The 16,661-nt window shown below is 38.9% G+C and overlaps 1 protein-coding gene across 4 annotated transcripts in view, besides 3 other annotated features; it reads left to right on the plus strand.

The window, feature by feature from the left end:
- AGPS (alkylglycerone phosphate synthase) overlaps positions 1 to 16,661 on the plus strand; it is a 151,062-nt gene that overhangs the window by 1,342 nt on the left and 133,059 nt on the right. The window contains exon 1 of one of the 4 annotated variants that reach the window (XM_047446104.1): positions 1,460 to 1,564. The exons of the other annotated variants lie outside the window; for them this stretch is intronic. The gene's annotated coding sequence lies outside the window, so the exon portion shown is untranslated. Of the gene's footprint in view, positions 1 to 1,459; positions 1,565 to 16,661 lie in introns of those variants that run through there. 4 annotated transcript variants of the gene reach the window in all.
- Positions 87 to 381: a silencer, noted in NCBI's record as "tiled region #2066; HepG2 Repressive DNase matched - State 2:TssF". NCBI's record gives its function as "represses a minimal TATA promoter and a strong SV40 promoter by Sharpr-MPRA in HepG2 cells {active_cell/tissue: HepG2}" and the evidence as "EXISTENCE:reporter gene assay evidence [ECO:0000049][PMID:27701403]".
- Positions 2,408 to 2,908: an enhancer, noted in NCBI's record as "H3K4me1 hESC enhancer chr2:178261250-178261750 (GRCh37/hg19 assembly coordinates)". NCBI's record gives its function as "activates a minimal SCP1, AML or CMV promoter by ChIP-STARR-seq in naive H9 embryonic stem cells {active_cell/tissue: H9 hESC(naive)}" and the evidence as "EXISTENCE:reporter gene assay evidence [ECO:0000049][PMID:30033119]".
- Positions 2,547 to 2,841: a silencer, noted in NCBI's record as "tiled region #14377; K562 Repressive non-DNase unmatched - State 14:Gen5'". NCBI's record gives its function as "represses a minimal TATA promoter and a strong SV40 promoter by Sharpr-MPRA in K562 cells {active_cell/tissue: K562}" and the evidence as "EXISTENCE:reporter gene assay evidence [ECO:0000049][PMID:27701403]".

A 16,661-nucleotide genomic window follows, 5' to 3' on the forward strand; every position in this document is an offset into this window, starting at 1 on the left:
ATACTTGCTTCTGATGAATTAATTCAACATACATGAGTCTTTACAAAATACACACTGTACCAGCAATACAGAAATTTAAAAATACGGTATTTACTCTTAAGGAAGGAATAGCTTAGTAGGTAAAATTATAATACAGCGTTATAAGAAACTTAACTGGGAACTATACCACCTGGTCATTTAACCCAGTTTTGGGTTTGTGTTTGTTAGTGCAAAGATGTTCCAAAGTAAAGATTGTCTGAGTAAATTTTGGATGTTTGCATTACTAATAGTTTGCCAAAGGGGGAAATTGTTCTTGGCATACAAACAGTATGTTCACAGGTAAAGAAGTGAGAGACAAATTAGGGAACTGCTGAGACTCAAGTGTAGTAGGAGAGGGTGAGAATGACAGGGGACGAAGACTGGAGAGGTGAATCTTGTTTACAGGATTTTACGTGGGGCAATACATGATTAGATTTACCTTTGATAAAGGTCACACTGGGAGCAAATTGAAGACAGTTGAGCATTTTGGCAGTATAATGGCTGGGAACATAGACCTGGATTTCAATTTCCACTACACCGTTACAGCTCTATGATCTTGGGCAAATCACTTAACCTCTGAGAGTTTCAGTCACCGTCATTTGTAAAAACGGGAACAGTAATCCTGTTTTGCAGTGTTGCTGTGAGAATTGAAAAAAATAGAGTTAAATGATCAAGTGTTTAGTGCAATGCCTGTTACATAACCTTTCAAAGAATGGTAGCTGCAATTTTCACAGTGTCTAAAGGCAGAGAGACTAGGAGACTATTATTCCAGGGAGAAATGCTGGGATTCTGAACTAAGGCATATTATTGGGAGTAGGCAACTTAATTGAGAAAATGCTAGGAGGTAAATTTTCCATAACTTGGTTACTGAGTGGTGGGGAGGGGAGGAATAAAGGATTTCATCTCGTCTCCTGGCTTCAATTGAGGTTATATTATTAATAGCTGTCATTAGGTTTAAAATTTTCTAAATGGTTTCATGTACATTTATGTGTTCTCATTTGTATGCATATATGTGATTGTACATTTTATGTAGATTCACACTCTTAGAACCAAGTAAGGAGGGCAGGTTTTCCTTATGGTTAGATTTAATGGCTTGGTTTACAGCATTCAGAGAAAAAATAGTAACGTTTGTAAGGCACACCAAGATGATGGTTGAAGGTGACTGGTCAGGGATGCCCTGTGTGGCTGCTCCAAGGACTGAAGGCATCGATAGTTCAGGCACGACTGTAACCCATTTGTTGCATAGGTTACAGCTGGTGGGAAGCCCTGGTCTTTGGTTCGGGGTTAGACGACTAGTGGTAAAATCTAGTCCTGTACTGGTACTTTGAGATTTTCATCAAAATATGAGGGAACACAGAAACTTGTATTAGATGACACATCAAAAGCTTCCACAGAGGGTGATATACTTGATAGATAATCATGAGGAACCCAAGTCTCCCTTCTACTTCCTACTTAGCTGGGCCTGCAGTTGCCAGCTACAGAATCCAGCCTAAAGGGAAGATAAATGATAGAGGAAGAAGGAACCACAGTATATATCTAATAAGGTGTGAGTATGCCTATATGTCAATTATTTTGGAATAATTTTGTGATTTGTGTATTATTCCTTCCCTTTTATTACTTTGGATGATAACATTGCTTGTAATTGTTTTATCACATGGTTGTTTTATCACATGGTTGGTTATATCACATGGCCTGGAGTAGTGACTTCTTGAAATGCCATATTTTCATTCCTGTTACAGAATAGTCATGCATATGTTTCAACATTTATAGAGTAGTTGCTTTATGAAGGTCCTGTCCTAGGCATTGGAGGTAAAGAGATGAATAAGTAGTCTTCAGCCTCAAAGAGTTCACAATCTAGGAAGTGAGAGACACAGTGCAGTTTGATTAGAGCCACTGTAGATACAGGTACAAATGTAGCACAAAGGAAAGACTGACTTACTCTATATGGGGGTGGGAGGGTGGGGGTGGTCAGAGGAAGCTTTCTGGAGAAGATTTTAAAATGTGGATGGTATTTTGAGAGTTTATATTCCAGGCAAAGGGAACAGCATATGACAAAGCAAGGGGCCATGAAAGTGCATATCGTATTTACATAACTAGGTGATTTAGTATTGGTAGAGGTGAGAATAAAATGAAAGGAGGGCAGTGGCAGGTCATGGAGGTCTTTGGCTTGTGGGTTATCAGTCCATTCGTTCATGCATTCATTCATGCTTATAAAATATAGCAGTGAACAAAAACTCTGCCCTATGGAACTTATATTCTAGCTGGAGTGGAGACAGTGAACAAACAACTAATATAGTATGTCAGGTAGTGATAAATATAAAGAAAAATGAAGCAGCTGAAGGGGCTTGGTGATAGAGAACCCTTGAAGGAATTAAGCTGGGAAGAGACATGATCAGATTGGGTTTGGGTTTGAGAGAAGTCACTCCAGCTACAGTGTTAAGAATGGATTGGAGAACGGTAAGGATGGACATAGATCAGTTAGAGGAGATCAGTTAGAGGAGGCTGTTGTAACACAATAGGCGAGAAATAATGAAGAATTAAACTAAGATGATGGCAATGAGAATAGGGAGGAAATGATGTGTGTGAGAGTTTTAGAAGTTCATTAGGTGACACCATTAAAGTTTAATCACACTTTAAAACTATGTAACTAAATTAATGCCACAGGAGTTTGGAGACTGAATGACAATAGAAAAGGGATGACACAGTCCAGAGGAATGTGGACATTTCAGAGGGCTGACCAAACAAAACCTGCTGTTTACTTATCACATGGTCTCCTATGAAGTTGGCACCAATTACTTCTTTTTCTTTTCTTTTTTTTTTTTTTGCTATGGAGTCTTGCTCTGTCTCCCAGGCTAGAGTGAAGTGGCGCGATCTCAGCTCACTGCAACTTCCTGCCTCCCGGGTTCAAGCGATTCTCCTGCCTCAGCCTCCGGAGTAGCTGGGATTACAGAGCCTGCCACTGTGCCCAGCTAAGTTTTGTATTTTTAGTAGAGATGGGGTTTCACCATCTTGGCCAGGCTGGTCTCGAACCCCTGACCTAGTGATCCACCCACCTCAGACTCTCAAAGTGCTAGGATTACAGGCATGAGCCACCACGTCTGGCCGGCTCCAATTACTTCTATCCCGGAACATATGTTCTCATTATTTGAAGTTGCTGAGCAGAGTATTGAAGTGACAGTTTACTCTTGGATCCTCCCTTTTTCCTTAAGTGCATGTTACCCATGTACAGTTTTTCTTTTGACTTTGCTTCTAAGTGCAATTTTAGATCCTTAAAAATCATAGTAAATGTCAATTACATATGTGACACTTTTACGTCTTGGTTTTGGATTTTTTTCAGTTTTTTTTTTTTTTAAGGCTCTTGTGGTCTTACGAAAAAGAGAAGAAAAAATACCATGTTAACTTTCATTCTTCCACACTGCTAACCTCTTTCCCAGTTATAACTTTGGCTCCAACCTCATTGTGGTTTGCATTAGTCAGAACTGCTCAATGGCAGTTTTTACGGAGGTTATAAATGTTCAGGTCAAAAGAATGATTAAGAACGCCACTAATTGTTTAGTCTACTTGCTTATAATGTCACTTACAAATGCCATTTTAATAAAAAGCAGTATATTAACGTCGGGCATGGTGACTCACACCCCATAATCCCAGCACTTTGGGAGGCCAAGGCAGGCAAATCACTTGAGCCCAGGAATTCAAGACCAGCCTGGGTAAGATGGTGAGACCCCATCTCTACAAAAATACAAAGAAAGTTAGCCTGGTGTGGTGGCACAGGCCTGTGGTTTCAGCTACTGGGGAGGCTGAGGCGGGAGGATTGCTTTGAGCCTGGGAGGCAGAGGTTGCAGTGAGCTGAGATTGCGTCATTGTACTCCAGGCTGGACGACAGGGCGAGACTGTGTCTCAAAAAACAAAACAAAACAAAAAAGTATTATTTAACATCTGCCGGAAGCTTTGGTAGATATTTTCCAGAAGGAATACAGCTGAGTTAACCTCTTGTAAATATTTCCCAAGAGGGTATCCTGAAGCCTGTAAGAGCTGATACAGAGCAAAGGTTATTTGCACAAGTGACCTGGCTTAAAACTTAACATCGTTTGGCAAAATTCGAGCTTATTTTGGTAGTTATGTTGAATGAAATATTTACCCTATTTTGAGTTCCTAGCTAGGAATTCTAGTGATAGTAGTAATAGGAGTTTTAATTGACTAAGTCCTAATATGACAGGAACCATGCTAAAGCTTATGTACATTATGTCATTTAAATCTCACACAACAGCTCTGAAAAATGAGTGATACTATATGTACATTACAGTTGAGGAACTAGAGGCTTAGAGAAGTTAATTTATCTAAGGCCTTGCATTTGTGAAATGAAAGAGATGGCATTTCAACTCTGTTCTTGCTCCAGAGTCCATATTCTTTCCTCTATGCTGGATTACCACATCTGATGTTCCCGGGGAGATATCTACTTACTATTCATCAAGTTGCTGTCTTTGTCATGCTAAGTTTCAAAGTTTTTGTGATTAAATAGATCATGATCAAATACTTTGTCATATAGTTAAGAAGGCATTAGTTTATGTTGTACTTAATAAATTATAAAACATCATTCTGTCAAAATGAAATTCATAATAAGAAAATGTAATGGGTGGTTTAAAAAGGTAGACCAGCCAGTTTACTTTTGTGAGTGCATTTTGCCATTTGACTTGTGGAAGAAGACAGTGTTTGGAATGAAAGGGAATTAGGAAGAATGTGGAAGACCCAAGATCAGAGAAGAAAGGAGGAAAAGAGAATAGGTCATGGAGGGTTTACTGCCTAGTTGCAAACTGTCTTTGGACTGTGAATGAACAGGAAACTGAAGATTTAATCGCTGTGGTTATTTGTTAATATGCTTCTCTAGATTGCATTTTAAGATGGACCAGACCTTCTCTACATAGACTTTTTTATGTTGGGAAGTTACTATAGAGCCATCTACCCTTGTGGTCATTTAATAAAAATACCTGAGAATGAATTAAGTGATCTGTTTTTAGGCTGCAGAGAAATGGATTGCTGTTGTAGTCAGATGAGATACTTTATGGAACACTTTAAAAGCAAGTGCTAAGCAAATATTACTCCGTTTGATTTTATTTCCTTATTATTGAGAAGATAACTTCTGCTGTTATTCCGATTAGTATGTTAATTTCAACCCTAAACCAAATCAAGGGATCATGACTAGAGTCTACCGTTGTAGCATAAAGTATTAATAGCTCTCTGCCTATTAGTGTTCTCTTTATTTGTTGGGTCTTGGGGGTGATATTTTGTCATATCCTTGTCCCAACATCTGGGCTCAGAATCAACTGAGAGATAAGACACAGGATACAGACAGAGAGGTAAAAACATTAGCTTTTTTACTGATAATGCTGGTTGGAGATCGTGGCTTAGATCTGTACTACCTAATATTTACCCTGAATTACACTCCATCACAGGCAGTGTACCACAGAAGGCCTCCTCTGCAGGTGTAGAGCCTAACACATGCTACCAAAACAGTAGAGAGAGAACTTACAGCATAATTAACTTTTGCAGAATGAACACATCTATTTTATCTGTATTTAGATTAAGAAACAGCATTACCAGTACTCTAGGAAGCCCTCTTTGTGCTCATCCCAGTGGCTCCTTCCACCAGGATAACCACTACCTTGACTTCTAACATATAGATTTGCCTGTTTGAACTTCATGTAAATGGAATCATACAGTGTGTACTTTTTTGTGTTTGGCTTCTTTCCTTCAGAGTATTATGTTTGTGATATTCCTCCATGTTGCATCTAGTCACATTTTGTTTATCCTCATCGATGAATAGTATTCCATTGGGTAGATATATACCACAATTTATCCATTCTGTTATTGATGAACATTTAGGTGGTGGTTACTTTTGGTCCGAATAATTACTTGTTTTAATATAAAGTGCATATCAAACTAGTGTTTTTATAGATATTACTGCATAGGAAGAGGTTAAAGTAATTAAAATAGTGTTTAAGAATTAATATATTTACTTTTCTTAAGTACATCAATTGTTTGAGGTAATAAACAGAATGCTCCCAGGTACTAAATCATTTTTATAAATAAATTAAATTGGATTTTTAAACAAAGTGACCTTGCAGTGTTCACATATTATTTACGAGCTTATAAGATTTCAGCTTAAAATCATAAGTCCAACTCTATTACTCAATTACACATTTTAAATTTGAGTTACAAGTCAGTCATTCTTAAAGACTAGATTCTCTTAAGTTTTGTAAATATATAAAATATCAATTTTTTGTATAGTTTTCTTAAAAACATTAACATCTGTCTTTGGTTCTCTTAAGCATTTGTATATTTAATTCTGGATCTTTCAGTAGTTGAAATACGCTTACTCATTGAAAAAAACTGCTACTATTCCAGTAACTGCAGTTACTTTTGATGAGAGAGTTTTGCCTCCTGGGTGAGATTCGGAGGGGTAGATATCGTCTTGTCATTCACTAAGAAAACTGTTATATGATTGCATATAACATTTGTTCTTGCCAGCATGTTTGAAATTACTAATCAGAGATTTGGCCAGGTTGCTGACCAGATTCTTGTTGTTGACCTCAGTGGGACTCTCCAAATTCTATTTATAGTTGCTGTGTCAGAGACCTCATCCTATAAGCAGGGGAATGCTCAGGTATCCCAGGACCTTAGAATCAAGTAATGTGAACTATTTAATTTGCTATAATCACAGAAGTTCGCATTTCCAACTCAGATTGATTACCTAGTTGGGTTTTACATTTTTTCTAAAGGTGCTTGAACTAACTGTATAGGAATCCAGCCTAAGGAATATTAAAATGACACCTACTTGAATTCTCTTATCACTTTAGTCACATATACTATGGAGTGGATATTTTGCTGTCAACTCAAATTTTGTAGGTCGACACTATCCAGTAGAGCTTTCTGTGATAGAAATATTCTGTAATCTGTGTTATCCAGTATCATAGCCACTATGGAGCTGACTTTTAAATTTTGTTTAATTTTAATTTAAATAGGCACATGTGGCTAGTGATATACCGTGCTGGCCAGTACAGGTGTAGGTGGAAACCTAACTCATTATCTTCTTTCTCATTCTCTAGAACTTATTTATCTGGGCTTTCTCATATCTCATAGTGTTAACACTAGTCCCACAGTCACATCCTTCAATCCCTATCTTGAACTTCTTTTCATTCTTTTAAGATCGAACTTTCTTTTGAATTTATTCAAATTAATAATTAATTCTGCAGTCACTCTGCTGCTCTCATACATGTTTGTGTCATCTGATCCTCACAACTGCCCATTTCACAGATTAGGAACTGAAATTCCTAGATACTTGCCAGAAAAATATATTAGTCAGTTTCTAGCTACTGAGTGGTAAAGCTTAAATTTGAATCTAGATTTTTTAATTTTAATTTTTTTTTTTTTTTGCGACAGAGTCTCGCTCTGTTGCCCAGGCTGGTGTGCAGTGGCACGATCTCGGCTCACTGCAGCCTCCACCTCCCAAGTTCAAGTGATTCTCCTGCTTCAGCCTCTCATGTAGCTGGGATTACAGGTGCACAGCACCACGCCTGGCTAATTTTTGTATTTTTAGTAGAGATGGGGTTTCACCCTGTTGGACCATGCTAGTCTCAAACTCCTGACCTCAGGTGATCTGTCCGCCTTGGCCTCCCAAAGTACTGGGATTACAGGTGTGAGCCACCGTGCCCGGCTGATTCCAGATTTTTAAAACATCTCAATTCTAGAGCTTTTTCCTTGATATTATATTGATATCACCCAGCCCTGTTCATTTTTTCCTTCACAATCTTTCACATTCATTTTGTGCATTAAACAAGTATTTATTGGTTACTTATGTTCTAAGCACTTGGGCTATGTCAGTGAACAAAATGGAGAAAGATTTTTATTTTCTTGGAACTTACATTCCAGTGGGTGAAATGGAAAATTAAACATAGTAAATAAGTAAATTATTAAGTATGTTAGAAGGTGATAAGTACTGTAGAAAAAAGAAAAAGTAGAGAGGGTAAGGAGGTAGGGTTCAAATTTTAAGAAGGATGTCAATGAAAACATGACATTTGAGCAGATATTTAAAGGAGATGAGTTTAGTCATATGGATATCCAGGCAAATGAGTGTTCTAGGCAGAGGAATAGTATGTGCAAATATCCTAAGAGGAAATGCACATGTGGCATATCAGGAAAGCCACAAGGAGACTGGTGCAGCTGGACTCAATTCATATCCCCTCACCTCTAACCGCTGTTTAAAATATGTAGCTTTTAAACTTCAGCTTCTGATTTACCTAGCTCTTCTACTGTTCTAGGCAGAGTCTCTTATTCATGCCACATTTTTCAGCTTTTACACCTTTTATTGTGCCATTGTCTGGAAGACCTTTGCTTGTTGATTGATCCCATGTTTCAGAGTCTCTTGTTTTGGGGATCTTTTCTTTTTACTTTTGAGAACTGGGGAAGCATTGATCTATCTCCTGTTACCTTTTCCCCACGATTTCTCAGGTTATGAAGAGTAACTTTAAAACATACGGTTAAGTGCTAAGTGTCATAGGATATAATATGTAGGTCTAGAGCCTTGAATTCATTTAAATCACCTAGGTACTCTTCAGCCACCTCACCCATTTGAAACTTCGTCTACTGGCTGGCCGCGGTGGCTCACGCCTGTAATCCCAGCACTTTGGGAGGCTGAGGCGGGTGGATTACCTGAGGTTAGGAGTTCAAGACCGGCCTGACTAACATGGTGAAACCCTGTATCTACTAAAAATACAAAAATTAGCCAGGCGTGGTGGTGCACGCCTGTAGTCCCAGCTACTCTGGAGGCTGAGGCAGGAGAGTCACTCGAACCTGGGAGGTGGAGGTTGCAGTGAGCCGAGATCATGCCACTGCACTCCAGCCTGGGTGACAGAGCAAGACTCTGTCTCAAAAAAGGAGAAAAAAGAAAAAAAGAAACTTCATCTACCCAGGTTTGCAATTACTTTGTGTCTTCCATATGCTAAGCACTGGGGAGGATTATTGACACATGGTTTTTGCCTACTGGGACATGTAGGTCTACTAAGGAAGACTGATGTGTCTTCTATTACTGCAAGATGTAAGGTATAGGAAAGGAATGGTGACTACTACAACAATGGAAGGGCAATTTTATATCAAAGAAACCTAGTCTAGAAGGATTGGAAGAGTATTGTTCTATGTCAAGATGTTATGCAAAAATTCTTAAATCTGAGGGTGAAAATATTGATGAGAGAGAGCATTTGGATGAGAACAGAATCAGAAGAATTAGGGTAGGAAAATCTGGGCAATGTAATAAAGTTTATAAAACTGGTGTGGCAGTTTGCTCTAGTAATGATGGTCTTTCAGCAATCTGGATAGTGTTTAGAAGTGTCATTCTGCTAGGAGCTGAATGTCTGGCAGTTACTTTACAATCATAAAGAAAAGGGAAAATAATTTTGGCATTCTAAAATGTTATGCATTTTGTTGCAGAAAAAAATAGAAAATAATAATCAAAATGAAGACTAACATTAAGAGATAACCGCTATAGCACATTGGCTTAGATCCTTTCAGACATAAGCATATGTGTGTGAGGTCACGCCATAATAATGTCTTGAAATTGCCATTTTTCACTCACTGTCTTGTGTATACCTTTCCTTATCAAGAAATAATAATGTGTAAAATCATTTTCAGTGACTCAGGAAGTATTGTATTATATGTAGGTACCATTTATCTGATGAGGACGGTGTTATATTTGTTTCCAGTGTTTCCCTATTATAGAGAATGCTGTGGTAAGCTTTTTACAATTAAATCCTTAATAATTTCCTTAAGGCACATTTTTAAAAAAGGGCCTTAATGAGTCAAAGAGCATTGGAATACATCATTCGCTGATCTCATTGGGCGTGGACAGAAATAAGGAACGATTGCTTGTTTGGACTTAATTCTGACAAGTAATAAAAAATTGAAAATCATCGGAATCTTTGGAGAACGACTACATCATATTTGAGCAAGTTTGTATCTTCTAATTTAGGGAAGCAGCTTTCCAGAAATTTAGATAAAAGGAAATTAGATGTTCTAGCCTGAGTCTTTAAAGGGGAAACCAAAACATGACCACAGGGAGCCTAAGGAATAGTGCTTAACCCTGCCTGGGTCTATGGGGGTAATGAGAAGGAGGGAGAGCTAAGACGACTGGCCTAGATGTATCAGTTTAAACCACTTATTGCTATCAGTAAATAATGTACATTCCGTGCTTATTCAGATGGCTCCTATTTACTGTTCAGGCAAATCTTGTTACATGGAGTGATGTAATTTAAGGATTATGGTGTCAGCAGTTTTCATTCCCTGCCGCCCCCCACCCCAACATTTTGCATGTATTTAAACATGTTGCAGAATTGAACTTCACAATACTCATTAGTGTACCATCCACCTAGATTCTACTGTTAACATGTTACTGTGCTTATCACATATCCATTAATCCATTCTTTTTTCCACCTAATATTAATCTATTTTGTTTTGATGCATTTTAAAGTAAATTGGTAGTTTCATTTTTGAAGTTAAATCTCCTTCAGAAAGGTTCTGCTTTTTTCTTTTATATCAGTTGGCTTTGATTTCCAGATAGTATTTGTTTTGCCTTCACAAATTATTTCTGGCTTTACAACTATTAGACTACTATTCTAATTTTGATTTTATTTCCAAGTTCATACCTGCCATCTGCCATTATTTTCAGAAAGTACATTCTAGTTTGCCATGCCTGCACTCAGATTTTATACAATTGGTAACTTAAAAAAATTATCATATTTTGGTATGTATACTAATGAGGGATATTTGTTATAAGTATTAATCTGAGCTAGGTTAAAGCAGAAAAGGGAAATTTATTCTAAGAGTACAGGGGTGCCAAAGAACCCAAGGGTAAGAATGGAGCTTGGCCTCAGGATGGAATTAGAGCCAAGAACCAGAAAGCCATCAGGTTTCTTACTAGTATCACTTCTTGCTACTATTTGCTGCAGGCTTCTCTAAGTGGATCAGCTTTTTCTGCTCTTCTGTCCAAATGGTAAAATATGGCTGCCCCACTCCTTCAGGAATTCAGCCAATAGCACAGAATAATTGAACCCCTTGTTTCCAGTCCTGGGTTACATGTTTACATTGCTGCAATCAGTTATTGCCTGGAAGGAAGTGGTGGTAGTCATAGGACATAGGTAGCTGCCCAGGCAGCTAAATGAGCTGAACCAACTCTGGTTATCATGCATTTAAAGATGATACAACCAGATTATCTGCTCATTGTTTTTGATGATTCCTTCTCTATAATCCTGCTCCATGAATTATTCTATTGATTTTCCTTGAGTCATCAATCTTTTTCTCTTTGTTGATTTTTCCTGCTGCTTAAAAGCATGCTCAGATAACGTTTTGAAATTTTCCACACGTATCACTCTTTTGAAAAGGCCTTAACAGCCATGAATAACCTAATTATAAAACTTTTAGCCTCTTAACCAATTCTGGTACCTGGTAGATGTTCTTATCTCTTCTTAGCTTCCATGTTATTGCACTATTCTGTTGTTTTTTTTTTTTTTTCCCACCTTCCTGTCTTTCTGACCATGGTTTTGCTGACTTCCTTCTCTTCCTAAGCTTAAAAATCCCTAAGATTAATTTTTAGTCATTTCTTCTGCATTTTCTTCCTTAATCATTTCATCTACTTGAACTGTAATAGCTTTTACCACTGTTGGGGGAACTTTAAGTTATTATCTCTAACTCTCAACTCTCATTTTTACATTTTTAATTATTGGGTATTTCTATCTGAGTATCTTGCTGGTTTCTCCAACTCAGCATTCATGTGTAAGGTCATTATTTTAGTCTCCAATCTCAGTCCTCCACTGTTTCTCTTCACTTCCGCCATTATTTAGATGCCCAAGTCCAACAACACCTGAGTCATGAGTTCTTGCTGAGCTCCATCCCCCATCCCTTATTTGGTTCATTGACAAATCAGATGGACTCCAAGTCAGATGGACTCTATTATCGACTCTCAAGACACTTTGCTTTTCTCTCATTGCCACCAGCCTAGATGAAATCTTAATTGTCTCACTTCTAGCCTGGTCTCCCTTTCTTTTGTTTCCCGCCTTTAAATGATTCTTCATTCTATTACCAGACCAATCTTTGTTCAGAGAAAGTGTCAGTACTTGCTGCCTGCTTGTGCTGTGCTACATTCTAACATTGCAAAAATGATTGACAGTCAGTGGAGATATATAGATATATAAAAGATATGATGTAGCTGTAGTCATTGTATGCAGAAGAAAGAGCCATAAATTCTTGAAGAAGATAGGAAAAGGCTTTATAGAAGTGACTTTTAGACTGGTTGCCTCCAGGGAGAGAAGGGCATTTTAGACAGGGGATATATACAGGAAGACATAAGAGGACATGGTGTGTATAAGGAATTGTCATAACTTAATGTGTCTGGGAACAGCTGTTAAAGAAGGTGAAAATGTAGAGTGGTGCTGTGTTTAAGAATTGGGATTTCATCCACATTGGAGAATCAACAAAGTTTTAAAGTACACACTGCTAGATTTTGACTTTTGGTAGAAGCAATGAACATGGAAAATACTGTTTTGATTCTATTGTTCTCTATTGATTATTGAAGTAATAACAATCTCTTATTTGGCATTCAAGGCTTTCAGCTGTTCTCTATGACTTCTTGAATGTGCTTTATGCTTCAGCCAATTTTATGCTGCTTATTAGATGGGAAAATCCTTGTGCTTTCTTCCTCTGTTTGACTATTGAAATTTTACCATCTTCCAAAGAAGGGAAAGTTTAAATGCCTCCACAATGAAGGGTTCTTTCAGCTAGAGATGAACACCACTGAGCTCTTGTAATAATTTGTACTCCTTGTGTGGCCATCATTGAGTATACTGAAATCTTTGCTTCCTAGTTAGGAGTGTTGGAGCCAGACAGTCATGGTTTAAATCCTAGCTGTATCATGTACTGTTCCTGTGACTGGGGACAAGTTACTGAATCTTTCTGGACCATTTTTTTCATGTTTTAAATAGGGGTAATGACACCTACATCACAGGATTAAAGTGAGAAGGAAATAAGGTAATGATTGTAAAGCCCTTAGCTTTATAGTGTTATGCAATACTGTCATTGTTGCAGTAAACTACATAGAAAGGAGTAATAAGAATAGAGTGCTAAAATAGTTTCTATATTAGACCATTTTTGCATTGCTATAAAGAAATACCCGAGACTGGATAATTTATAAAGAGGTTTAATTAATTCACGGTTCTGCAGGCTGTTCAGAAAACATAACTCTGGCATCAGCTTCTGGGAAGACCTCAGGAAGCTTACAATCATGGCAGAAGATGAAGTGGGAGCAGGCACTTCACATAGCAAAAGCAGGAGCAAGAGTTGAGGTTGGGTGTGGGAGGGGGAAGTGCCACACATTTCTAAATGACCAGATCTCATGAGAACCCACTGTTGTAAAGACAGCACCAAACCTTGAGGGATCTGCCCCCATGACCCAAACACTTCCCACCAGGCCCTACCTCCAGCCCCGGGGACTGCAATTTAACATGATATTTGGGCAGGGACAAATATTCAAACTATATTGGTTTCTGAAGATGGAAGCACAGCAAGAAGTAGGAGGTACTCAGTGGCAATAATGACATTTTAATAGAGAAAACAAATTTCCTTTTTTTTTTTTTTTTTAAAAAAAAGAGGTGGGGTTTTGCTTTGTTACCCAGGTTGGAGTGTAGTGGTGTGATCATAGCTCACTGTAACCTTGAACTCCTGGGCTCAAGAACCATTGTCCTGAGTAGCTGGGATTATAGGTATGTGCCACCATGCCTGGTTATTAAAAAATTTGGAGCAGAGTCTTGAGGTATTGCTCAGGCTGGTCTTGAACACCTGGCCTCAGGTGGTTCTCCCACCTCAGTCTCCTGAGTCGCTGGGATTATAGGCACAAGCCACTGTGCCTGGCGAGAAAACAAATTTCTAGTAAATGTCACCTTATGCATTAGGAAGGAAGGTAAGAACCCAAAAAGTGTAGAACATCAGCAGTTTCTCGTACTGTGTTTTAGGCTGATTGTCAGTATCACACACATGATGTTTGGTCATTCTTGTGCTATTTCTGGTTTGAAACTCTTCTCCATGACTCTTAGTAGTCATGGCTCACCATTGCTTGCTTCTATGTGTGATATGTGGCCTTGGTGGCCACACATTGGAATTTGAATAAATATATTCTTGTGCTAAAGGAAAGTTATTTGATAAATAATTGTTTTAATTTTTATACTTTTTAAGACTTTTATAAACATACATGAACTAGGCAAATTTCCATAGCGGATCAAACTTCCTAAAATTTGCATCAGAAAATATGATCTCTGTATAGCCCTCATTTCTCCTTCCAGATAGTCCTTTGTAAGATTTGGGTATAGATTTATGCCACCTCCTCTGTCATGTAATCATATTTCCATTTCCTGTTATCTCTTTCCCCTGTCTCCCACATGGTGAGTGCTGCCACTTTGCCCTCTTGCTGCCCATTGTTTTCTTGCGGAATTCTACTCAGGGCCATCCTCTCCTATAGTGAAGTGAATTTAAAGTTTTTCCTTTCCGTTTCTCTCTCTCAATTCCAGTCTCCTGATTTTGGTAAGGTTTGGGTGAGAGCAACTTAATTGTAAACAATTTACATTAAAGCTTTGTATTCCTTTGTGGCTATTCAACAGATGAGGCTTCTATTCTTAACTTTTTCTCATGTCTTAAGGTAATGCTTACCCACATGTGGTCTGTGGATGACCCTCATCAGAATTTTCTGAGGGTGCTAGAAATTGTAATCATGGGCTGGGTCTAGGGTGGCATCCAAGGACTCTGCTTTTAAAGTAAGTACCCAAGGTGATGTTTATACTCCCAGAAAGTTTGAGAACCTCTGTTGTTGTGATTGGGTCCTGCTTTTAATGCTTTCTTCTCTTCCCCCAAACTTTATGGGGTTCATTTTTTCCATGGGTTTGCCGGAAGCAAAGATAGCAATCCCAACTACCTGTCACTTAAAGTAGAAGGGGCTACTGCTGATTTTTTTTTTTAATCATTATTTTAAGTAAAACAAACCAAAAAAAACCCAACTACTGTTTTGTTTTGTTTTTTTTTCTCACAATTGCAAGATTTAAGAGTGAAAACAGAGCCCATACAATGGGAGGAGACCCAAAGGGGGTTGCCACTCCCGGCAAGAATGCTTGGGGTTTATATCCCAATCATTGTCCCTCCCCCTATGCTCTCAGGTGATATATGATTTGACTTTTTTTTTTTTTTTTACCTCCTGCTTTAGCCTAATTTGTATTTTAGTGAGCCCTCTTTACTATCTGATTGGTTGGGTGTGAGCTGAGTTACAAGCCCCGTGTTTAAAGGTGGGTGCGGTCACCTTCCCAGCTGGGTTTAGGAATTCTTAGTCGGCTTAGGAAATCCAGCTAGTCTTGTCTCTCAGTCTCGGCTCTCAACAGGAAAACTCAAGTGCTGTTGGGGAGGTTGGCCGACGACCGCTCTTAACTGCTTCCTGCTGAATTGGGGGCATAGTAGGGGTCATGCAGTTCAGATTTCCTTGGGAGGGGTGCCTTCGATCTCATCAACATTGGAGCATGGGCTAGTAGGCCGGTCTAGGGGTCCGCAGTAGTTCAAATGCATCAGGGGCTCCATTTGAAGAACCATTTATACTTCTACACCTTCTATTCTGGAAGAGACAAACTTAACAAGGAGGTTAAAGATACAGGGATTGAAACGTATGGCCTGCAGTGCAGGGGATTATTTCTTTGGCACACTTCACAGGCCCTGACTATCTGCTTGATAGTTTTTAAAAGGCCTGGTCCAGTAAATAATGATTTAGCCATCTGATGGGTGCTATCAATGCCTAAATGAAAGGTTTGGTGAAGGGTTTTAAGTAATTTCCATTGGTTAGCTGCAGGCAAAAGTATTTTTCCTTCTTCAGTGGCTAGCCATCCTGAGGGGAGGAAACTTGTCCTCATGAGGGTCCCCATTCTGTTTCTCCTGCCGAGTACTGCAGCTTGGTTTCCCGGAGGGGATTACCCCATACTAGGGGTCCTTCTGTAAGCATTTCTAATGGAGGGTCCTGCCTTGCGGCTCTTTTGGCTTCAATATCCGCTTGGCAGTTCACTTCTATTTCCCTTTCGTTTCCTTTCTGATGACCCTGGCAGCATAAGACTGCCACCTCTTGAGGTTTCTGTACAGCCAGTAGTAATCTCCTAAAGGCTTCCTGATGTTTGATAGGTGTTCCCTCGGAAGTTAGGAATTCCCTTTCTCTCCATATTGCTGCGTGGGCATGGAGGACTAGGTAAGCATGCCTAGAGTCTGTGTATATATTTACCCTTTTTCCTTCTCCTAATTCTAGTGTATAATGGCCCCTCCTTTTGCTAGAATGTCTCTCCCTAACAAAGGAGTGGGGCTTTCAAGCATAATTAGAAAGCCATGTGAAAAGAGTAAAGTTCCCCAGTCACAACTTAGTGGCTGGGAGAAGTATTTAGTGACTGCCTGTCTTAGGACCCCTCAGATAATGACAGATCTGGAGGACAGTTGTCCGGGACAGGGAGAGTAAGACTGAGAAGGCCACACCAGTGTCCAGGAGACAGTTAACCTCCTGGCCCTCAATGGTCAAGCATACCCGGGGCTCTGTG

Source organism: Homo sapiens, chromosome 2 (assembly GCF_000001405.40).
Source record: "Homo sapiens chromosome 2, GRCh38.p14 Primary Assembly".
NCBI lineage: Eukaryota > Metazoa > Chordata > Mammalia > Primates > Hominidae > Homo > Homo sapiens.